Raw genomic sequence first — 25,454 nt, 5'->3', positions numbered from 1 at the left:
GGATTATAAATCATTTTCCCTGAACATTTTGCAAAGGATTGTTCCATGGTCTTCTGGCTATAATGTTTCTGTTGAGAAGTCTGATGCCATTGTTTTTCTTAAGGTTCTGGATATGACTTATTTTTCCTCTCTGAAAGCTTTGAGACTATTTTTTCTATCCCTAGTACTCTAAAATTCCTAGTTGAAAGCATGAGTCTTTTTGCATTCCTTGGGCTGCCACATCCAGTTGTGTAGGTTGTGCACTGCATCACTTTAGGGAGCCCTATTCCCATCTTAGTCCATAGATACAACTTGGATGACTGCACAAGATGGCCTTGTGGACATTCTGTGGGACCTTACAATCTGAAGATGACTGTCATTGAGCTCTCAGAAATCTTTTGCCCAATCCTTCCTCTCAACCAATTTTTTTTTTTTTTTTTTTTTTTTAGAGACACGGTTTCACCCAGGCTGGAGTGCAGTGATGCAATCTCTGCTCACTGCAACCTCTACCTCCTGGGTTCAAGCAATTCTCCTGCCTCAGCCTCCCGAGTAGCTGGGATTACAGGTGTGCACCACCAAGCCCAGCTAATTTTTGTATTTTTAGTAGAGATGGGGTTTTGTCACGTTGGCTATGCTGGTCTCAAACTCCTGGCCTCAAGTGATCTGCTAGCCTCAGCCTCCCAAAGTGCTGGGATTACAGGCATGAGCCACTGTGACCGGCCTCAACCAGTATATCTATGTTCTATCTCTGAAACACTTTAGTCACAAACTGGACTTCCCAGATTAATCTCCTCATTTTCTTATTTTGTCTCTATTTTCCATTCCTTGTTTCTTATTCCACTTTCTGAGAGATTTCCTCCACTTTATCTTCCAACCTTCTACTGAATATTTAACTTCAGCTATGCTATTTTTAATTTACGGAATTCATTTTTAAAAATAGAATTGTATTCGCCAGGATCCAAGATCTTCTCTTGTTTCTCTGAAGATGTCAATTAGAGGTTTGTTTACTTTTTTCTTTTTTTAGATTTTCTTCCATTCCCTGTATTCTTTCTGTTTCCTTTCTCTTTCCTGTCCACTAGCTGTTTCTTTTTTATTGGTTTTTGTCTCTCTTTTGTTTTAGAGATGATATAAATGCCTCATGATTCATGGCACTGATATTTCAGAGAGGGGCACTGAAAAGCTGATTGGAAACTGTGTGCGGGGGCAGGGGGCTTCTCCATTGGTGGCTTCACTCTAATTGATCTGGTGTGGCTGTTTTGCTGAGGATCCCAATTGAGAGTCTCTGTGGTCTTTTCTCTTGGTCTGATCTGTTTCCCCAGAAAGAAATCTGCTGAAGACAGAGGAGTCACCTGGCGTCAGCATTCTCAGACTTAAGTAAGGAGAAGTGTTGGGGCATGTGGCCTTACCTTTCAGCATGTAGTTTTTTCACTCAATGCCCAGTTTCAGTGCAGCAGCACATCCTTAGCCCTACACACACAGTCCAAAAGGTCAGAGTCTGTCTGGTTCTGCTAGAATAGGGAGGCTATTGTCATCCTGCTGTGTAGCCTAGGCAAAGGCATCCAAGGGCTTAACTATGTCTCCAAATTCCATTAACCTCAAGTGTACTGTCACCACCATGGGCAACCAAGAGCTTCCAGTTCTTTGCTGTCTCTGGGATTCTGCAGAACGAGGCTGCTTCTGGCTGTTCCCTGAGTCTGGTGGCTTTTTCAGCCCTTTGGTCTGCTATTAATAAGTCGTGTGCCACTCCTTCCAGTTTCCACATTTTATTTTATTATTGTCATCTCTTTCCTCATTTTTTTGTCCTTGTGGGATTATGATTTTTTTCCACCATTTTTTGGAAAGTATTTTGGGAAGTTGAGGTGGAAAACATATGTTGAATATACCATTATTTAAAACCTAATATTCTTTCTATACTTCAAAAAAACATATGGGAGGTCTATGGTGTGCTAGTCACTTAAACTCTCCTCTTCCTCATTTATATGTCACAACAATGTAGCACCTACCTTATGGGATTATCCTGAGAATTAAATGAGGAAAAGCTGGTGAAGCACTGAAGTTTATTATAATTGTGAAAACAATGGAAAATGAAGAGGTTCACAACATGCTGACCCAAAATATGCCACTTTGGTAGATTGATTATTTTGAGCTAAAAGAAACTGAAAATCAAGAAATGCAGGAAAAGCTCTTTACCTCCCACTCAACTACATAAAATAAACCATAAATTTCCGGTTTAATAAAGGACATTTACAATTATAAAATATCTATACCAGGAGGAGAGCTATGCTGAGGCAACTTTGATCACCTGAGAGACTTATCTGCATAATAAGACAGGCTTTGTTCACCAAACATTTTCTCCCTTCACCTTCCCACAATTTGTCTCCACCACCCTCATGCCCCAAACTTTTATTTCTTTCTGTAGCTCAGGATGATTTATGCATCTCAATCATCTGGCCACCCCCTTGAGTCTAATTTTTGTGGGACTCCCATACATATGTATGTAATTAAAATTGTTTTTCTACCATTAATCTGTTTTATGTCAACTTGATTTATAGACCAGCCAAAGAACCTATAATGGTAGAAGAAAGCATTTTTCCTCCCCTGTAGGACCAAACAATACATGGCAAACAGCATGGCAAAGCCACAGGAAAGATAACATTCTCTGGGATTAATAAATAACAACAGTTCTCAAAGTGTGGTCCTGGGACTCACAGCATGATCAGCACCTGGAAGTTTGTTAGAAATGCAGATTCTTGGCCAGCCACAGTAGCTCACACCTGTGAGCTACTTTGGGCCGAGACAGATCACTTGAGGTCAGGAGTTCGAGACCCGCCTTGCCAACGTGGTGAAACCCTACCTCTACTAAAAATACAAAAATTAGCTGGGTGCTGTGGCACTTGCCTGTAGTCCCAGCTACTCAGGAGGCTGAGGAAGGAGAATTACTTGAACCTGGGTGGCGGAGGCTGTAGTGAGCCGAGATTGCACCACTATACTCCAGCCTGGATGACAGAGTGAAACTTCATTTCCAAACAAACAAAAACAAAAAACAAAACAAAAACAGAAATTCAGATTCTTGGGCCAACCTCAGACCTACCACAACAGAAACTCTAGAGGTGTGGTCCTGCAATCTGTCCTGTAACAAGCAGTTCAGGTGATTCTGATGCCTGCTAAAGTCTGGGAAATGCTGATATAGAGACAAGGAAATGAACTCCTTCATTCCAGGTTGCTGGTTAGGGACCACCCTCAATCGCTGGATATGTTTTGCATGCTAGGAAGAATAAGAACAACATTTAAATAAAAGCAGAGACATGTGGAGAGGTAACCCAGCGAAGAGATGGACTTGGAACATGGAAGACCTGTGTCTTAGCCTGTTTTGCTTTGCTATAAAGGAATACCTGAAGCTGGTAATGTATAAAGAAAAGAGGTTTGTCTCATGGATCTGCAGGCTGTACAGAAAGCACACCAACAGCACCTGCTTCTGTCAAGGACCCAGGAAGCTTCCACTCATGGCAGAAGGTGAGGGGGTGGCAGGGGTGTCACATGGCAGAGAGGAAGCAATAGAGGGGAGGGAGGTGCCAGGCTCTTTTCAACAATCAGATCTCTTAGATGTACATATTTCAGTGTGCAAAACAATAAAAAATTTAAAAAGACAAAAGAAAAAACAATCAGATCTCATGGGAACTAACAGAGTGAGAACTCACTTGCATGAGATTGACACCAAGCCATTTATGAGGGATCTGCCCCTGTGACCCAGACACCTCCCACTGTAATCGCCCAAGGGGTTCACCTTGCCCGCTGCCTAGACAGAGCTGATTCATCAAGACAAGGGAATTGCAATCGACAAAGAATAATTCACGCAGAGCCAGCTGTGCAGGAGACCGGAGTTTATTATCACTCAAATCGGTCTCCCAGAGCATTAGGGGAGCAGAGTTTTTAAGGATAACTTGGTGGGTGGGGGGAAGCCAGTGAGCCAGGAGTGCTGACTGGTCAGAGATGAAATCATAGGGAGTCGGAGCTGTTTTCTTGTGCTCAGTTAGTTCCTGGGTGGGGGCCACAAGATCAGATGAGCCAGTTTATTGATCTGGGTGGGGCCAGCTGATCCATCAAGTGCAGGGTCTGCAAAATATCTCAAGGGCTGGTCTTAGAAGCACTTTAGGGAGGGTCAGAATCTTGTAGCCTCCAGCTGCATGACTCCTAAACAATAGTTTCTAATTTTGTGTCTAATGTTAATCTTACGAAGGCAATCTAGTCCCCAGGCAAGAAGGAAGTCTGCTTTGGGAAAGCGCTATTACCGTCTTTGTTTAAATTATAAACTAACTTTCTCCCAAAGTTAGTTCAGCCTACGCCCAGGAATGAACAAGGACAGCTTGGAAGTTAGAAGCAAGATGGAGTCAGTTAAGTTAGATCGCTCACTGTCTCAGTCATAGTTTCGCAAAGGCGGTTTCACCACTAGGCCTCACCTGCAACATTTTGGGATCAAATTTCAACAGGAGATTTGGAGGGGACAGATACTCAAACTACATCAACCTGATTCTAAGCCCTGAGGTCTTGGTTTCTGTAGTTTTCTCTTCCACTCTGTAAGCTATGCTAGGATCCCACTCAGCAACTTGGATCAATAGATTTCCAATCCTTATTTTGTTTGTTCTTACAAAGCCAGTTTCCATGAAGTTTCTGGCATTTGCACCCTAAAGAATTCTGAATAATTCCCCACTCTTCATCTTTAAGAAGCAGAGTGAAGCTGACCTTCCCCATAATGTTGTCTTCAGTAGCATTGGAGAGGTGGCCAAGGGCAGCTCTTAGGACCTGGCAATTGGCTCTTCCCCTGGAAGGTTCTACAATGCTCAGAATTCACTATCTTCTCTGCATATATATACATGTGTAAATATGGACTTATTTACATGCACAAGAATCAAATTGAATAAATTTATTTCATCTTGGTATTTCTCATCCGATGAAGACATCCATGTTCATGAAACCACCACACAGGGTTGGCAAGAATTGCACTCAGGGTTCTGGACGGAAATATAGTTATAATTAAGCATTCATCAGACTGCACTCTGGCTCACTTCCTTGTTGCTAAAAGTCACGTACCACTGGATCCTGACCATCTGCAACCCTGTTGTTTTTATAGCTAGGATCTCTGACATTAGGGTCATAAGACTGTAAGAATTGATTTGTATCCCCATTGTTCCTATACACAGGATCTCTGACATTAGAATCATAAGGCTTTTGTTTAAGGATTGCTTAAGATGTTTTTCAGATCCATGAATTTCGGCAACCAATTTGAAGACTCACACAGAGGAATGGAATCAGCATGAGAATACAACTTCCTCATCTCCCTGTTCCATGACGCCCTGTGTTCTTCAACCCATCAATGATCCCCACACTTTGGCCCACTCCAAAACCCTTAGAAACTCTAACCCCAAATTCCTTGGGGAGACAGACTTGAGGTTTCTCCCCATCTCTTGGTTCACTGACCCTATGATTAAACCTGTTTCTCTGCTGCAACCCAGTGTCTTGATGTATTGACTTGCTGTATGTATCAGGCAACAAACCTGTCAGGCCTCTGAGCCCAAGCCAAGCCATCACATCCCCTGTGACTTGCACGTATACATCCAGATGGCCTGAAGTAACTGAAGATCCACAAAAGAAGTAAAAATAGCCTTAACTGATGACATTCCACCATTGTGATTTGTTCCTGCCCCACCCTAACTGATCAATGTACTTTGTAATCTCCCCCACTCTTAAGAAGGTTCTTTGTAATTCTCCCCACTCTTGAGAATGTACTTTGTAAGATCCACCCCTACCCGCAAAACATTGCTCTTAACTTCACTGCCTATCCCAAAACCTACAAGAACTAATGATAATCCACCACCCTTTGCTGACTCTCTTTTCGGACTCAGCCCACCTGCACCCAGGTGAAATAAACAGCCATGTTGCTCACACAAAGCCTGTTTGGTGGTCTCTTCACATGCACGTGCATGAAAAAACCTATTATGGTTATGTTCATACTATTCATAATATTTATGATTTTATGAATTTTCATCATACTTCTTATTCATCTTATCTCTCTTAATACTTCTTATTCATCTTATCTCTCCTAATCTTTCTATATTTCACAGAGAATTTGCTCACCCACTGAGAGTCATAAGGTCTTCCTTAGTTCAAGCTTTCCTAAACCTAGCTGATCATCAAAACCACCTGGGGAGGCTCAAAAATATAATGCCCATTTCCCACTCCAGTGCTAAATCTCATGGGGCCATTCTCTGTGCGCGCGCGCGCGCGCGCGCACACACACACACACACACACACACACACACACACACAGACATCCATACCCTAGTGAAACTAATGGTCTCTATCTATGAGGGTTTTCATTGCCCTGAAAATTATAATGTTTTCTTAATACCAAGAATATCATCATATCCTTCCTTTTGGCAGTGAAATGTGAAAAACGAGTATTTATTTGTCCTAAGAGTAATGTAGGAGGCTAAACATGCCATCCCAAATCCTCTTTAACATAAAGATAATTTTGAGCTGATTATTTTGAGAAACAGCAAACACAGAGAAGCTCTGAGGACAGAGCATAAGGTTTTTTTTGTAAGGGGAATTTACATCTATAACGGGAATCTCCATTTTAAGGGTGCCTCTCTCTCTGTACCAGGAGGAGAAGGATAACTCTTGTCAATGGAGAATGCACTGCCTTAAATCTGCATAACAAATCTTACCCTTGTTTACTATACCTTTCCTGGTCACCTTCCCAAAACTTGCCTCCCCTGCTCAGAGGCCCCAAATCACTTTTCCTTTGTCGGTATTATTAAAAGAAAAACTTCAGACAAATTAAATTTAAAAGAGATTGATTGAGTAAAGAATGATTCCCCAGTTGGGCAGCTCCGAGAACCAGAATAGGTTCAGAGCAACTCTGTTTGCTGTCACATGGTGGGATAATATTTATGGACAGAAAAAGGAAAGTGACATACAGAAAATGGAAATGAGGTACAAAAACAGCCACGTTAGTTACAACGTATTTGTCTTATTTGAGCATGGTTTGAACAATTGGCCATCAGTGATTGGCCAAAACTCTGTGATTGGCTCAAGAGTAGGTTACAGTCTGTTTACACATCCAGTTAGGTTACAGTTCCCTATTTTTGGAGAACTTTTAGTCCAAAGTTAAAAAATAAAAGGAGGCAGCTTTAACATAATTTAACCATATATAAGCCTAAATTCTATTTTTTTGTTTTTGTTTTGTTTTTTTTTAGATGGAGTCTCACCGTGTCACCCAGGCTGGAGTGGAGTGGCAGGATCTCGGCTCACTGCAACCTCCACCTCCTGGTTTCAAGAGATTCTCCAGCCTCAGCCTCCTGAGTAGCTGGGACTGTAGGTGCATGCCACCATGCCCAGCTAATTTTTGTATTTTTAGTAGAGATGGGTTTTCACCATGTTAGCCAGGATGGTTTCGATCTCCTGACCTCATGATCCTCCCACCTCAGCCTCCCAAAGTGCTGGGATTACAGGCATGAACCACCGCACCTGGCCCTATAAGCCTAAATTCTAAACACTCCTTTGAGTTACTCATTTCTGGGTATTTCCTTGTGTTACATGTGCAAATACACATGTTGTTACCAGTGGCAAATCCAACAGGTCTACAGCGAACTCAATCCTTGCCTCCTTGGAGGAAAGAATTCAGCCACAGGGCAGAAGTAGTTTCAAGGCAGAGGGAGAAACTGAGGCAAGTTTTAGAACAGGAGTGAGAGTTTATTGTAAACTTTTAGAGCAGGAATTCAAGGAAGTAAATTTCAACTTGGAAGAGGGCCAAGACAGTGACTTGATTGATCCAAGTGCCCCATCCAGCCCTTGACTTGAGATTTTATACACTGGCATTTTCATTTCTCCTCCCCTGATTTTTCCCTTGGGGTGGGCTGTCTGCATATGCAGTGGCCTGCCAGCACTTGGGAAGGGCCACATGCACGGTGTGTTTACTAAAGTTGTGCACATGTTCATTCCAGGTATTTTTCTCTTAGCAGTTAACAGTTGAGCATTCCTAGAGGAAGGTCATATACCAGCTGAACTTTGCCATTTTGCCTCTTAGTGTGCATGTGTGAGCCCACTAATCCAACTTCTGAGATCTTATCTGGAAGCAGCTCATCATCAGCTTCAGGTGTGTTCTGTCTACTGGGAGACTGTCTTCCCTGGCACTGGCTGTGACCAAGTGTTATTTTAGAGAGACAGTTTAACAATGGCCTGACCATCACCTGTGGTCACCTGACACTCCTAGGGCGTGGGGGTGGGTGGCTCTCCTGTCCTGCTCATGTCTGCCTAACTACCTACTCTAACTATGTTAACAAATTTCACTTGGTTTTCCTCTTATTAATCTCTTTTGTTACAAAGACTCAGCCAGGAATCCAGAAGGATGAAAGGAAGAAAGATTTTTCTTCTCTTCTAGTGACAAAATTAAAGCTGAGTTTTTGTCAACCTAAAAGGAAGAGGCTGTGGCACGAGACATAATTTAACGAGTTTTCTTGAGTCAAAATGAGGACAGTTGCCTGGAAAACTCAAAACCAAGTAACCTTGGATATCAGCTCATTGGGCCTTTGTTAGAAACAAGATTTTAAAAGCAAAAAAGGGGAATAGGCCAGGTGCTGTGGCTCATGCCTGTAACCCCAGAACTTTGGGGAGGCTGAGATGAGAGGATCACTTGAGGCCAGAAGTTTGACACCAGCTTAGGCAACATAACAAGAACCTATTTCTACAAAAATAATAAGCACAATCTTAATAATAAAATTACCCAGGCATGGTGGTGCATGCCTGTAGTCACAGATACTTGGGTGGCTGAGACAGAAGGATCATTCAAGCCCAGGAGTTCAAGGCTGCAGTGAGCTATGATCACGCCACTGCACTTCAGCCTGAGTGACAGAGTAAGACCCTGCCTCTTAAACAAAAAAAAAAACAAAAGTGTCCATTCTAAACATGGTTTTTTGTTTTTTTTTTAAATCATTTCAACTTTTATTTTAGATTCAGGCAGTACATGTGCAGGTTTGTTACATGGGTACATTACATGATGCTGCAGTTTGGGTATAAACAATCCCTCATCCAAGTAGTGAGCACAGCACCCAGTATTTAGTTAGTCAACTCTTGCCTCTCCCTCTCCCTCCCCACCAGTGGTCCCCAGTGTCTGCTGTCACCATCTTTATGTCCATGAGTACCCAACATTTAGCCTCCACGTATAAGTGCAAACATGCGGTGTTTGGTTTTCTGTTCTTGCACTAAACATGGTTTTGATATTTTTAGGCCAGTTGAAACTATCAATAAAGGAAAATATAAATAAATGTTCAAAATGGAAACTTGTCAATACTGTTTTCAAAAGTACCTATAATTTTCATATTTTGAAATAAAATCTTGATATTAAATACACCATTGCAAAAATATTGAGATAAAATATTTGCATGAATAAAGAAAAGCAAAACCTATTAATACATAATGATAAAGTACTATGCCAGCGTTAAAATAAAAACTTGAGACAAATTAAATCAACAGAGCTTAACTGAGCAAAGAATGATTCATGAAGGGGGCAGGCCCCAAAATCAGAACATGTTCAGAAAGACTCTGTCATTACAACCAACAAGTAGTCAAACAACATTAATGCACAGAGAAAAGGAAATGAGGTACAGAAACAGCTCCATTGGTTGCAACTCAGTGCAGCCTTATTTGAACCTGGTTTAAACAGTTAACCACCTACGATTGGCTGAAGCTCGGCTGCTCTGATTGGCTGAGACTCAGCTATTTGTTACAAAACCATACTTATAAATTAGGCTTTCGATTTGTTTACATACTGAGTTAGACTGCAGTTTGTTATACAGAACTGGTATGGAGGCCTCTAAAGCCGAAATTTAGTTTGATTTAACACCAGTCTAACAATCAATATTAAAAGTAATCTGAAATTAGAATAACCATAAAACAGAAGCTCAGGATTAACCTGAAGGCAAAGCTATAAACCAGGTTAAAAGCATATAAATTAGTCTTGTAATTCTAAAGATAATAATTATAGAAGTAGCTGACATTTACTGAATGCTAACTCTACGCTTGACATGTATTCATTATAATGTTATCTCTAATACAATCTTTATAATCACCCTCTGAAATGGAGTTTCAATAACTATTTCCATTATTCAAATGATGAAGCTGGGTTAAAGATATTAACTAACTTACCTAAGTTAGATAAGTCCATACTTACCTAACTTACATGTACTCGTACAGTGTATACCTAATACAAGTATGGGCCGGGCACGTTGGCTCATGCCTGTAATCCTAGCATTTGGGGAGGCCGAGGCAGGCAGATCACATGAGGTCAGGAGTTTGAAACCAGCCTGGGCAACATGGTGAAAACCTGGCTCCATTAAAAATACAAAAAAAAAATTAGCTGGGCGTGGTGGCGGATGCCTGTAGTCCCAGCTACTCCGGAAGCTGAGGCAGGTCAATTGCTTGAGCCTGGGTGGGGGAGGTTGCAGTGAGCCAAGATCATACCACTGCACTCCAGCCTGGGCAACAGAGCAAGACTCCATCACAAAAACAAAACAAAATGAAACAAGTATCCTTGTACTAAGTGCTTTAGCCACAATTTGAATCCCAACCAGCTTGACTACAAAGACCTCTCTCATGAGTAAAATAATTTGGGAGCAAGATATGATCATTATAGCCTCCAATTACTAAGCATCTAATACCACATAGCTTGAGAGTTACATAGGGCTTAGCATAGTGCCTACTATCCTCCAGGCAGTCAATATTTGTTGAATGAATATTTACTTCCTACTTCCAAAAAGCATTTCCTTATATTGTTCTTAACTATTCAGCACATTGGTGTGGCTAGCCCAGGGTACCTTCCCATCTAGATAAAATGAGAGTCGCAGTGACCGAGATATTCTTCCTTGGCTCTCTTGGTTCTAGGCTTCATGCAGACCACTCACTGCCCGTTTCTTCTGCCAGTGCATTGCTGCAATAGTATACTGTTTGGATGAGTTACAACTTTCTTCACATTAATTACTCTGATTAACTCCTACGAAGGTTGTGCTTGCAGTATAGCTCCTCTGACTACACTAGGAAGTCCCCTTCTCCTCAACAAGGATGTTAGTGGCCCTTTCTTGGGGTGGGCTATCTTTACCCTTCCCTGCTCTGACCCATTTATGATGATTCTTTAATTTCAGAGGATTGGCCTCATCCTTAAATCCCAACTATAAGCCTTATATGGAGCTTCTAGTCCACTATAATGGGCTGGGCTTTTTTGTTTGTTTGTTTGTTTGTTTTTTCCTTTCCTTTTTCAAGAATTGGGGTGAGGCTTAGTCATTTACTTTTAAAGACTTAGTAAGTTAGTAAAGTAAAATGGGTGAATTAGTAAATATTAGAGAGGAACATCTAATTTTAAGCAGAGCAGATGACATACAATTATTCTAAAAGAAAAACAAGAAGGGCAGCGGAAAAGAAGGAAATTTAAAAATAGAGAAAGAGGAAGAAGACCAGCAAGAGCCTAAAGAAGCGAAATCTGTGAAACCTAAAAAGGAAAAGTTTTTACGTATTGTTCTTTCCGAAGAAAACCAGGGTTTGTGTTAAAGGCCAGACTTTCGAGATGTTTCTGATATACTAAAGAACAAGTAAGAATGGAAAGGAGGCAAGGCGCGGTGGCTCACGCCTGTAATCCCAGCAGTTTTGGGCGCCCAGGCGGGTGGATCACGAGGCAGAAATCAAGAACATCTTGGCCAACATGGTGAAACCCTGTCTCCTCTACTAAAAATACAAAAATTAGCTGGGCATGGTGGCATGTGCCTGTAATCCTAGCTACTTGGGAGGCTGAGGCAGGAGAATCACCTGAACCCAGGAGGCAGAGGTTGCAGTGAGCCAAGATAGCACCATTGCACTCCAGCCTGGGTGACAAGAGTGAAACTCCACCTCAAAAAAAAAAAAAAAAAAAAAAGAAGAATGAAAAGGAATGGCCAGGTGCGGTGGCTCACTCCTGTAATCCCAGCACTTTGGGAGGCCGAGGCGGGTGGATCACCTGAGGTCAGGAGATCGAGACCATCCTGGCTAACACGGTGAAACCTCCTCTCTACTAAAACACAAAAAATCAGCCAGGTGTGGTGGCATGCACCTGTAGTTCTACTTATACGGGAAGCTGAGGCAGGAGAATCGCTTGAACCCAAGAGGCAGAGGTTCAAGCCGAGATCACGTCACTGCACTCCAGCCAGGGCGACAGAGCAAGACTCTGTCTCAAAAAAAAGGAAAGGAAATAGAAAAATAGCAGCCTTATCAAAATATAGAAGGTTCAGCAGCTGTGTACACCTGTTGAGAAGCTGATGGGGACCGGAATCCTAAATTATTGCAACAGTTAATTCTACTTTTGTATCTTTTTATATCTTTGTCATGGGAAACGAGTTAATGTGTATTTTATTCACTTTATTCCCAGATACTTCAATATTATGATATATTTTTCTTCTTAAAGATATTTTACAGCCAGGTGCAGTGGCTCATACCTGCAATCCTAGCACTTCGGGAGGCCAAGGCAGGAGGATTGCTTGAGGCCAGGAGTTCGAGACCACCCTGGGAAACATAGTAAAACCCCATCTCTACAAAAATTAAAAAGAAAAATTTTAAGTAGCCAGATGTAGCCAGGCATAGTGGCAGGCGCCTGTAATCCCAGCTACTTGGGAGACTGAGTCAAGAGAATCACTTGAACCTGGGAGGCAGAGGTTGCAATGAGCCAAGACCTCACCACTGCACTCCAGCCTGGGTGACAGAGCGAGACTCCATCTCAAAAAAAAAGAAAGACAATTAGCCAGATGTGGTGGTATGTGCCTGTAGTCCCAGCTGCTCAGGAGGCTAAGGTGGGAGGAACATTTGAGCTAGGAAGTTCAGGCGGTTGAGCCATGATTGTGCCACTGCACTCCAGCCTGGGTGACATATCGAGATCCTGTTTCTAAAAATATATGCAGATGTTTTATTTTAAACATCTGTGTGTGTGTGTGTATGTGTGTGTGTATTATGTAAACCATTTCTTTTTTGTTTTTTATTTTAGTAATTTTTTTTTTCATTTTTACTTTGCAGGAGCAAGATCTAAACCATTTCTAATAAATGAAGTTAAAGAAGACTGTGATTTTTATGCCAAACTCCATTTTTCCCTCTTCTTGGGAACTGTCTGGATGGTATTTTCCAGTTGGATGTGCTGCACGTGACATGTTCTGGAGAGAGCAGAAGTGACAGACGCCACCTCAGCATGTGCACTCTGCTCCCTCTCATCAGACCAGACATGACTACAGACTGTCATTGTGCAGAAGGTGACAGTCCCTGGGGGGCAGAGCTGCCCTTCTGACTGCACTGCTCCCCTTGGAAGAGTTAAGTGAGAAAGAAAGAAACTTTTTGTTATAGCAGCTTGGCCTAACACAACTGTACTGTCTATGCTTGCAAGGTCACGTTGCCTTCCAAATCAGTAGAGCCATCGCGGCAAATCACACTCTGAGCAGTACTAGCTTCTGCCTACAGTCACGATCAAGAAAATGAACAGGGACCAGGTGGGGTGGCTCACACCTGGAATCCCAACTTTGGAAGGCTGAGTTAGGCAGATCACCCGAGGTCAGGTGTTCGAGACCAGCCTGGCCAACATGATGAAAGCTTATCTCTACTAAAAACACACGCACACACAAACACACACAAACACACGCAAATTAGCCAGGTGTGTTGGCAGACGCTTGTAATCCCAACTACTTGGGAAGTTGAGGCAGAAGAATCGCTTGAACCCAGGAGGCAAAGGTTTCAGTGAGCCGAAATTGCATCACTGCACTCCAGCCTGGGCGACAGAGCAAGACTACATCAAAAAAGAAAAAGAAAACAAGAAAGAAAGAAAGAGAAAGAGAGAGAGAGAAAGAGAAAGGAAGGAAGGAAGGAAGGAAGGAAGGAAGGAAGGAAGGAAGGAAGGAAGGAAGGAACTGGTAATGAAAAATCAGTCAGAGAATGACTTTATATTGACAAGTTTATATTGACAAGTTTAACATACATCTTAAATCTGTCTCTTCTTTGGCCTAGAATTCTGTGTAAGCAGTTACTGAGGTTTCGGTACCTACTGTTTATGGAGACATGAGCATTGTTTAGATTTAGTAAACAGCAAAAGCATTAACTGTTTATTCCCTTTAGGTCTAGTCAGTGCTTTTCAGCAAGATGGCAAAGGTAGCAAAGTAACAGCTAAGAATTTCCTGACTGCAGTTGTCCACTTAACTGTGGCATTTCCTTCTTCTTTCGTTCCTATTACATCACTAGTGTAGCTTGTATTTCACTGTGAGAAACAAAAAGCGTGAATGTTTCCTGTTTGTCATCAGAACTGAAAGCCTTATTTGAATTTATCTTACAAATTGACTGCAGAAGTGTCACATGACACATTGGTATAAATTCCCTTCACAAGTACCTATTTTGCACACCAGCTTTTTGTACCTATAAGCTAAGAAATACAACTACTTTGTCCATCCCTAAAATTATTCAAACAGACAACCTCTAATCTAGGTGGAACATTTGTTTAGACTCAATCATTACTTCAAGCATATATCATTAAGGCTAAATCTCTATACACTGACATTCTACTTGGCATCCTCACTTGCTAAAATAATTCCAGTTTCAAGTATAAAATGTCCTGTGTGTGTAGGTTTTTTCCCCTACTTTAACTGCTTTAAAATATAAAATTCATAGACCCCACAGGAATTAATTCATCCTTTGCTTTTTTCAAATTGTCAAAATCTACTTGTCAGCATATTAATGCAAGGGTATTTACTGACTCTATTAAACACTAATCAATATGAGAAAAAATATTTTACTCTAATGAAAAAGGAAGTTCAGGAGGAAGACTAACTTTCTTACCTATGTAGATGTAATATACACACATTAAAGAAGAATTAGGGAGAGAAAATTCAAAGATAACTGTCATATCTGTACCGGACGCATCTGTGCACACTTTGATTTGGAGTCTGCATGAGGACCTAATATTTGAATTCCCTTGTAATTACCGCAGCTTTGTGGACCAGAAAACTAATAAAAAATGTATAAACAAACTAGGTGTGGTAGCTCACACCTGTCATTCCAGTGACTTGGTAGGCTGAGGTGGGAGGATTGCTTGAGGCCAAGAGTTAAAGACCAGCCTGGGCAACACAGTGAGACCCTGTCTCTATATTTAAACATATATATATCAGCCATGGTGGCTCATGCCTGTAATCCCAGCACTTTGGGAAGTCAAGGTGGGTGGACTGCTTGAGGCCAGGAGTTCAAAACCAGCCAGGACAACATAGTGAGACCCCATCTCTACAAAAGAAAAAAAAAATTAGCCAGATGTGGTGGCCCACACCTGTGGTCCCAGCTACTCCAGAGGCTGAGGTAGGAGAATTGCTTGATCCCAGGAGGTCGAGGCTGCAATGAACTGTGACTGCACCACTGCACTCCATCCTGGGTGACAAAGAGCAAGACCCTATCTCAAAAAGGACATAATTAAAAATTTATAAACAGGCTGGGAACAGTGGCTCATGCCTAATCCCAGCAACTCAGGAGGCCCAGATAGGAAGATTGCTTGAGCCCAGGAATTCAAGACCAGCATGGGCAACATAATGCTAGCTACTCAAGAGGCTGAAGCAGGACGATTGCTTAAGCCCAGGAGTTTACGGCTGCAGTGAGCTATGATCACGCCACCGCACTCCAGCCTGGGTGACAGGTCAAGATCCTAGCCCTAAAAAAAAAAATACAATAAATAAAAAAAAAAAGGTATAAATAGAAGAAAGACAACAGCAGGGACACACTATGAAGGATTATATATGGTAGGGAGGAAACAAAATATTAACTAGGCCATGACAAATCAGCTCCAATTTTGAGATTTAATATAGCCAACCCATTTGTTTTCTGAATATGTCACTGCACACACTCAGAGATCCCTTAATCAGACAAATCCAGGATACCACTAAACAATGAAAAAAGAAGACAAGGCAAGCAGCAAAAAAGCACTCTGGTTGACCAAAAACTAAAGCTTAAACACATTACTTACAGCAGAGCATCACAGTTCTGAATTAGAAACTCATTTCTAGTATGACAGGTTGTGTTATTTAAAAAAGAGAAAACCATTTCTTATGATTTTAGAGTCAATTCTGACAAGCACATTGATTAGTGTCTCTAACTGAACATAGAAAATCATAGTGGGAATTGAGGTTGGAAAGTGACAATGGTAAGAGCTTTTATAATGCGAGGAAGTAGACAGGAAAAGTATAATCACAAAGATAAAATTCCCAGCACTAGCTGGGCGTGGTGGCTCAGGCCAGTAAACCAAGCACTCTGGGAGGCTGAAGGGTGAGGATCACTTGAGCTCAGGAGTTTGAGACCCCATCTCTACCAAAAATAATAATAAAAAAATTAGCGAGGGAGAGGTGTGGGATGGTGGCATGCACCTGTGGTTCCAGCTACTCAGGATGTTGAGATGGAAGGATCGCTTGAGCCCGGGAATTCAAGGCTGCAGTGAGCCATGATCATGCCACTGCACTCCAGCCTGGGCAACAGAGTGAGATCCCATCTTGAAACAAATTAAAAAAAAAAAAAGTCCTAGCACTCTGAGATCCCTTTAAGTACAAATGAACTGTCACATTTCAGCCATCTGCAAGCACTAAAGCACTAAATGATTAAACCATATTTAGTTTTTTTGTTTTTTTTTTGAGACGGAGTCTCGCCCCGTTGCCCAGACTGGAGTGCAGTTGCGCTATCTCAGCTCACTGCAACCTCCGCCCCCCGGGTTCCAGCGATTCTCCTGCCTCAGCCTCCCGAGTAGCTGGGACTACAGGTGTGAGCCACCACGCCCAGCTAATTTTTGTATTTTTTAGTAGAGGCAGGGTTTCCCCATATTGGCCAGGCTGGTCTCAAACTCCTGACCTTGTGATCTGCCCACCTTGGCCTCCCAAAGTGCTGGGATTACAGGCGTGAGCCACTGTGCCCAGCCTCATATTCAGTTATTTTATAAAGAAAAATTAGTACACCATAAATTACTTTTTTTTTTTTTTTTTGAGACGGAGTTTCACTCTTGTTGCCCAGGCTGGAGTGCAACGGTGTGATCTCAGCTCACTGCAACCTCAACCTCCCGGGTTCAAGCGATTCTCCTGCCTCAGCCCCTATAGTAGCTGGGACTACAGGCACCCGCCACCACGCCCAGATAATTTTTCTATTTTTATTAGAGATGGGGTTTCACCAATGTTAGCCAGCTGGTCTTGATCTCCTGACCTTGTGATCCGCCACCTCGGCCTCCCAAAGTGCTGGGATTACAGGCGTGAGCCACCGCGCCCGGCCTTTTGTTTCATATTTTACACAAAAAGGAACTGTTCAATTATTTAGAAAATTCAATTGTGAGAAACAAGGCTAGATAAGGTTTTACTGTAAGTTAACTGATGACAGTGAACTCTCCCTGACCTTTACTCATAGAATCATTGTCATTGATCTAATTTACAACAGGAAGAAATACATTTTTTTCCAACAGCTGTTCTGATCTGATTTACACTACTTGCCTTGGTCCCACTGACCAATGACATAAGCTTGCAGCCAGTATTATTGAACACAGCAGTCGTAACTCATGCTTGAAATCTGTTCAACATTTCCTTCTCAACCAGGCTACAGAGAAAACAGTCACACTAGGAATTGCTAGAGACTGGATGTGGGATGGCAGTGACCCCCAAAGCAAAACAGAGCAAGTCATTTTGGAGAAGGCAACACCTTCAAGATCACAGCAGATTAGTGAAGTTCTATTTTTAAATAATTACAGTTGACCTGGTTTCTCAAGATGTTTGGAAGATGACAGAAAGATAAAATCAATGAATTCTCATTTTTGGTTTCAAAAACCATTTTGTCAGTTACAGAATTCAATACTGCAATATCTTTTTCTATTATTTGAGTTTAAAACGCGCATAATTACTTTGTCATTAATAATTCCCAGTACCTTTAGAGTCAAGTTATTTTCATTTAATTTCACATTCTCCAACTAAATATTTTCCAAAGCTCCATTTCCCTTCAATTAATTCCTTCATTCAAAAATTTGGCGGGGTGTAGCGACTCATGCCTGCAATCCCAGCACTTTGGGAGGCCGAGGTGGGTGGATCACTCAAGGTCAGGAGTTGGAGACCAGCCTGAACAACATGGCAAAACCTCGTCTCTAATATTAAAAATACAAGGCCAGTCACAGTGGCTCACGTCTGTAATCCCAGCACTTTGGGAGGCCAAGGCAGGCGGATCACGAGGTCAGGGTATCGAGACCATCCTGACTGACATGGTGAAACCCCATCTGTACTAAAAATACAAAAAAAAAATTAGCTGGGCGTGGTGGCACGCACGTGTAGTCTCAGCTATTCAGGAGGCTGAGGCAGGAGAATCACTTGAACTCGGGAGGCGGAGGTTGCAGTGAGCCAAGATCATGCCACTGCACTCCAGCCTGGGTGAGAGCGAGACTCCATCTCAAATAAATAAATAAATAAATAATAAATAAAAATACAAAAAATTACTTGGGCATGGTGGCAGGCACCTGTAATCCCAGCTACTCGGGAGGCTGAGGCAGGAGAACTGCTTGAACCCGGGAGGTGGAGGTTGCACTGAGCCAAGACCACACAATTGCACTCCAGGTTGGGCGACAAAGCAAGACTCTGTCTAAAAAAAAAAAAAGAAAAAAGCAATTTACTGAGCACTCGCTCTGCTAGGTACTTGGGTTTGAACCCAGGGATTCAACAGGGAATGTGCCTATTGAGCTTAGTAAATTTGGGAAATCAAACTGAATTAAATGTCATCTAGTTTCTCAGTGCCTCTTTGAGATAGACATTCTAGGGATGTACAAAAAAATGACATCTGAACTTAGGATGTAACAAATAACTATTTAATGTGAACATGCTACATACTTGAATTTATCCAGTACATTTACCTACATATCAAATTATCAAACGTCCAAAGGATTACAATCTATTTTTCTTCCCTAATGCCTTTCTTCCACATGAGCACTAAATGTCATGGTAAAGTGCTAATGATTCTCAAAATGCAAAACTTGGAAAAAAATTGTATAACTTTTTTTTTAGGAAAAGCACATAAGATAAACTTGAACAAAGTAATGAAATTATCTCCAGATTTTCTTTTTCAAGGCTGAGTGTGTGATTCACACCTGTAATCCCAGCACTTTGGGAGGCTGAGGTGGGAGGATTGCCTGAGGCCAGGAGTTCAAGACCAGCCTGGGCAACACAGGGCGAACCCCCGCCCCACCGACCTCTATGAATAATAAAAAATTAGCTGAGCATGGTGGTACATGCTTATAGTCCCAGCTACTCAGCAGCCAAGGTGAGAGGCTAACTTGAGCCCAGGAGGTAGAGGCTGCAGTAAGCCATGATTGTGCCACTGCACTCCAGCCTGGGGGACACGACAACACCCTGTCTCAAAAATAATAAACAAAATGTTAAAATTAAATTTAAAAACAGGACTGGGCAGGGTGACTTATGCCTGTAATCCCACCACCTTGGGAGGCTGAGGCAGGAGGATCACTTAAGCTCAGGAATTTAAGACCAGCCTAGGCAACATAGTGAGACTACATCTCTACTAAAAAATTTTTTTAAAAATTAGCTGGGTGTGATGCTGGACGACCGTTGTAGCCCCAGTTACTTAGGAGGCTGAGGTATTCGGGAGAATCACTTGAGCTCTGAGGTTGAGGCTGCAGTGAGCCATGACTGTGCCATTGCACTCTAGCCTAGGTGACAGAGGGAGACCCTGTCTCAATAAAAACGTAAGAAAAAAGAAAAGAAATCAGGACTTGGAATCCTAATTTGAAAATGAAACAGAACACAGAGTAAGCTACCTAAAACAGTAATAGGCTTACAGAAGGCTTTTTAGGAATTCTTGTGTGTTCTACTCATACTTGTATAAAATTTTAAGCATCTCCAAATGTTATACAGCTCTAAATAAAGTGGAGAAAAGGGGTAGCCAGGTAATTCAAATAATAGAATTTCTTTCTTCCCAAATTACTTACTGAAGCCATGAAGCAAAACTTACCTACACAAAAATCCAGAGATCTGTGATTAGTAAACATTTAAACCGTTGACAAATTCTTTCCTTGATATTCAACGGCATCCTTCCAAGAATGTGGTTAACCAATGAACTCAATCAAGTTCAGTTGTGTCTATGACTGTGATGTCTAAATAACTGAAAAGTAAAATATCCAAAATAGCTGCTTTTCTTATGCATTACACATACCCCAACATTATGCACACAGGTGCACCAACTTAGTCCATTTGTGCTACTGCAACAAAATACCTATAATTTATAAAGAACAGAAATTTGTATTTCTCACAGTCTGTTGGCTGGGAAGCCCAAGATCAAGGTGCTCGCAGGTTCCACATCAGGCGGAGGCCCCTTCCTCACAGATGACACCATCTAGGTGTCCTCCTGTGGCAGAACAACAGAACAGCAAAATGGGCCTAAGCTAGTTGCTTCCAGACCTTTTTATAAAAGGCAACTAATTCATTCATGAAGACAGAGCGCTCATGCCTTAAATCACTTCCCCAAAAGCCCAACCTCTTAATACCACCATAATGGGGACGAACACATGAATTTGGGGTGGTGGGACACATATATTCAAACTATAGCATGCACTTTTCAACATCTTAAAACAGATTCCCGTGGTCTCAAGAGGCCAGACTAGACAAAAATTAGGGCATCTCTTTGGTTACTCTCTAAAACGTTAAACTCTATACTGAGAGTGAGTGGAATACAAAAGTATGACATTTAATTAGACATTCTGCTGGCTGACACAAAACTTGCACTTCCTTTTTCATTAGCCAATAGGTACAGCTATAACTGTAGACAGAAATTATAATTAGAAATAATGAGAGCAATTTCTTGGATTACTCCACTTTTAAATTATATTTTATTCAGACTTATCCTTTGAAATTACTCATGATTAGCCTATCCTCTTCATGTGATAATTTAGGAAACCTCTCTATTGCTGTGGCATCTTTATGGAAAAAAAAAATTGTGTACATGCATACATGCAAGAAAGTTTCCTACAAACATCACAATTTAAAAACCACTCTATCCAAAAAGGCATTGTAAAAGTATAATTTTGCATTTTATTCATTCATTCCATCAGCTGGGAATTGCTCTATTGTACAAATACAGTTTTGTACAAAAAAATCACAAAATGTTACAAAATAAAAAAAGTACAAACTGCATTACTTAATAAATATGACTAAAAGTAGTTAAAGTGGCAATGAGATTGATTTTAAGTTGGAAACATTGTTTGACCCAGCAAACCATACAAGCTCTGTTTACAGACATTTCTACATCAATACAGGGCAATCCTATTTTGCCTTTTGAAAGAATGTAAAGAAATATTAAGACAGTGTTCTCCTGCTATAACTGCCAAGGTTGGCTCCAGACATTTATGCCATTAGTTTATAAATCTCTTAGCTGGATTCAAGAAGTTATATAAAGCAGGAGGCTTATCTTGTCACAGAGTTTTATACCATGTTAACATTCTCTTACAACAACGTGACAAATGTAAATAAAAACAACTGAGAGCACCAGACAATCTACTCTACACATCAACCAGGGTACAGAATAATCATTCTGCCATCAGCAAATATCAGACTTTCATTCAAGTAAGACCTGCTACTATCCCTTAAAAGAGGAAAAACAAAACAAAAACCAAAAAAAAAACACAAAAAAACACCTTCCCACAACCTTCCATTAAGTAATTTTCTTTAAAAGATTCGCCATTTCTAGAAAAATAATGACTTCCAAAACAACAGCTCTGTTTCATCAAAATGGAATGGGCCAAACATCTGGTAACAAGAATGCATCAATATCCATTTGAAATAATTATCTAAGAATTGTGAAATTCAAATTTCAACAACATAAAATAACTACCAAATCACAAACTCTGTTCAAAATAATACATTTCATATAAAGCACTTCTCTGGATTTACGCCTGAAAGCTGTTTGTCAAAATGGAACACGTCATAGATGAAGGTACACCAGTTTTTAAAAATGTTGTGCAAAAATACATTTTTATAGAAAATAGACTACCAGGAATGAACAAATTTACACTGTGAGAAATCAGCTTGCAAATTAAGTAATGCTCACTTTATACAGCAAATTATAAATAGCAGTAAAATCACCCAAAGCTATCATGAAACATCATTTAGGTGCCCAGCAACCTCCAGCTCTGAGAAAACATTCAAAAAGATGATTAAGGCATTACACCTACAGTAAAATCTACTAGCAAGTTTGAAAGTGCTATTACCCTGATTAAAGTTCATGTGATTCTCCAAACACAAGTTATATATGCAATTATTCCCAGGGTGTAAGGTTTTGAGACATTTCAAGAGCATGCATTTTGTTCAATATACATTTTAGACAAGGATATGGCCATAGATTTGGCAAGTTCTTCGTCGCGTTTCCTTTGCACTTGAGTTTGTTTGCACCAGTTGTCGTACTCTGGGTTAGGATAGGAGTGATCAAATACAGCATCATAGTGTCCGTTACTGAGCCAACTGAGCCAAATACTAGGCCTCAGGGAATCCTCTGGGCCCAAATAATGAATCATGGTAGACACCGTGGGACTCTCCAGCCTCCCTCCAGTAGTTAAATGGATATTCACATTCAGCATCTGCCCCATGGCCAGCAACTCCGGGTACCCGGCCCATGCCCCGTCTTGGGCAGCAGCGATGATAAACTCCCCCACGTCGCCCTCAATCAGGGGGCTGAAGTGGTCGAGATGGTCGGCGATGTAGTGCACCGTCTGCTCCCTCAACTCCCGGTGCAGGCTCTGGTCCCCATACACCGTCTTGCTGACAGCTCGGTAGAGGCAGTTGCCGTCTGGAATGATGTGGAATCGGTACTTATTCCTCTGCCGCAGATACTTGTCCTGCTTCTCCACCTCGGCCAGGTATAGGGCCAGCTTCTCGTCTCTGGGATCCGACCTGGAGACGATCACCGGCTCCGCCGCACTACTCGGGGCGGCCTCGATGCTCCCGGCGGGGGGTGCCTCGGCCTCTGGGTCGGGCCTCCGCGCCGCGTCCCCACCGGGCGCGTCGCAGCGATCGCCGCCCCTCTCCCAGCCCCTGGGGCCCCTCTCCGCCAAGTGCTCTTCGCCCCACGGACCGGGGCCGGGATCGGGGCTCCCCGGGGTCGCCGCGGGGCCTCGGTGCTTGGCGGCGGCCAGGGCCTGGCGGTGCTCGCTCAGTCGGAAGTTCCGATCGGGCCCCTCCCGTGTCGCGTCCAAGCCCGCGGGCTCGGGGCAGTCGGGCCGCAGCAGCTCCTCCAGGAGCCAGGCCGAGGAGCCCCGCCGCGGCGGGACCGGGGCTGCGGGCGCCGGGGCGAGCAGGAGGCAGCGGCCGCGCGGGGCAGCGGCGGAGCCCGCGGCGCCGGGAACGGGATCGGGCCCGTGCAGCAGGAGCCTGTCGGCGCCCAGGGCCCGCACGGTGATCTGTGCGGTGGACGTGTAGTGCGGCGGCAGCGGCGGCTTGCAGGACGCGCCGGGCGGGCCGGCGGCGGCGGAGGCGGGCGCGGCGGCCCCGGACACCACCTCGAAGCAGGAGGAGAAGGCGGGCATCTTGGCGGCGGGGACAGCGGCGGCTTCCCGGTGCTCGGCGGCCGCGGCGGGCTGGCACTCACCGGTCTCGGGCTCGGGCGCGGCGCCGGCGGCTCCCGGGGGCTGCAGCGAGACCTTGAAGGGGGTAGCGGCGGCGGGTGGCGCGGGGGCGGCGGCCGTGGGACCCGGGGCCCCGGCGGGGTAGTGGGTGCAGACGCTGCTGTAGAGCTGCATGTCCCTGCCCGCCGCTCGGCCCCTTATAGGCGCGGCGAGCCCCGGAGCGGGGGACACACCCTCCGGGCCCGGGGGAGGGGGCCGGCGGAGCGCGGTGACCCAACGGCCCCAGAATAGAGATGAGCGAAAGGCAGCCGGCCGCCGCGAGTCAGCAGCCGCGAATAGCGCCCGGGTCCCGGCCAAATTCCTGCTGCGCCACAGCGCAGGGGGGCGGGGACGGGACGCGAGCTCGACCCCTGCCGGTGCGCTCGGCCCGCAGACCCGGGGCGCCGCGCCCGCTGCAGCTGCTTCGGCCCGCGGCGGCCGCTGGGGACTCACGGAGGAAGCCGCCCGCCCCGTTGGAGCGCGTCCCGCCGGCGAGGAGGAGCGCGGTGCGCGCGGAGGCCCGGGAGGCGGGGCCGCGGTTGTTTACCTCAGGCCTCGCGGCCGCGTCACGTGGACTCACTGGAATGCGCGGCTCTTTGCGGCGCCCGATTCAGTCGCGCCTGCTCGCCCCGCCCACTCCGGCCCGCGCCCCGCCCCCTACCGCGCTCCGCCGACGTCACGGGCGTGGCCCTCGGCGCGCGAGCGCGCGCGGGCGGGGCGAGGCCGGGGGCGCGGAGGCCTGAGCAGTCCTGGGATCCTGGCTGGGCCTCCCGCCCACGTGACTCCCACGGACCGCTTCCCCCACCTGGGCACTGGGCACTGGTTTCTGCGCTGCGCCACTCTCCTCAGCGGCTGCAGTGGATGCTGCGGGATGGGAGCTGCTTGGGGCGAGTTAGCATGCTCGGAAAGCTTGCGTGGCAGGAAAGCTTCCGGCATGGGTGTGGAGAACGGAATGCTGCCTTAAAGTCTGTTTGGCCTCTGCTGGTCATGGGCTACCATCCCTGCTTGCATTCACTACTGCCTCTTTTCTTTTATCTTTTTAGAGATGGGGGTCTTACCTGTCTCCGAAGCTAGAGTGTAGTGGCGCAGTCCATAGCTCACTGCAGCCTTGACTTCCCGGGCTCAAGCGATCCTCCCGCCTCAACCTCCAGAGTAACTGGAAACCACAGGTGTGCACCACCGCACCCGGCTAATTTTCTTTCTTTCTTTCTTTCTTTTTTTTTAAGGCGAGGGTCTCACCACAGTTGCCCAGTCTGGTGTCGAACTACTGGCCTCAAGCTGTTTCCCGCCTCGACCTCCTAAAGTGTTGGGATTATGGGTCCTAGCCACCACTCGTGGAACCGCCGCGTCTTTTCCTTTTTTTTTTTTTCTTTTTCTTTTTGAGGCAAGGTCTTGCTCTGCCTTCCAGGCTGAGTGCAGTGGCGCCATCATGTCCCACTGCGACCTCGACCTCCAGGGCCCAAGTGATCCCCCTTCCTCAGCCTTGCCTTGGGCAGGGATTACAGGTGCCCAGCTAGTTTTACCACTGTGTCTTTTCTATGCATTTCCTTGGACTCACCGGTAAGGGTGAGTCCGCTAGTGGATTCTCTTGCCTTGCTAAGACAAAACCAACTTTGCACCTCTGACCTATGCCATTTGGCAAATATCTGGCTTGGGGGAAAGCAAGGAAGCCTTTTAGGCTTTTATAAACAAGCTTTCTCAGAATACCAAATGCAGTATCACTTAGGGCCCTTTGAGAATAGGTGTGAATGCTAGCCAGAGGTCAAAAGCGGTGGAG

General features: G+C 44.1%; 1 protein-coding gene across 1 annotated transcript, besides 3 other annotated features; it reads right to left on the bottom strand.

Annotated features, from left to right (window-relative positions):
* Positions 1–20,892: 20,892 nt before the first annotated feature.
* Positions 20,893–24,195, bottom strand: OTUD1 (OTU deubiquitinase 1). The gene has a single exon (NM_001145373.3). The coding sequence runs from the start codon at positions 23,810–23,812 to the stop codon at positions 22,367–22,369; it is 1,446 nt and encodes a 481-aa protein (NP_001138845.1). The 5' UTR covers positions 23,813–24,195; the 3' UTR covers positions 20,893–22,366.
* Positions 22,977–23,346: a silencer, noted in NCBI's record as "silent region_2219". NCBI's record gives its function as "represses an Ori minimal core promoter by ATAC-STARR-seq in GM12878 lymphoblastoid cells {active_cell/tissue: GM12878}" and the evidence as "EXISTENCE:reporter gene assay evidence [ECO:0000049][PMID:35858748]".
* Positions 23,487–23,826: a silencer, noted in NCBI's record as "silent region_2218". NCBI's record gives its function as "represses an Ori minimal core promoter by ATAC-STARR-seq in GM12878 lymphoblastoid cells {active_cell/tissue: GM12878}" and the evidence as "EXISTENCE:reporter gene assay evidence [ECO:0000049][PMID:35858748]".
* Positions 23,877–24,466: a silencer, noted in NCBI's record as "silent region_2217". NCBI's record gives its function as "represses an Ori minimal core promoter by ATAC-STARR-seq in GM12878 lymphoblastoid cells {active_cell/tissue: GM12878}" and the evidence as "EXISTENCE:reporter gene assay evidence [ECO:0000049][PMID:35858748]".

Source organism: Homo sapiens, chromosome 10, assembly GCF_000001405.40.
Source record: "Homo sapiens chromosome 10, GRCh38.p14 Primary Assembly".
NCBI lineage: Eukaryota > Metazoa > Chordata > Mammalia > Primates > Hominidae > Homo > Homo sapiens.
This window is presented reverse-complemented; position numbering and strand designations above follow the sequence as displayed.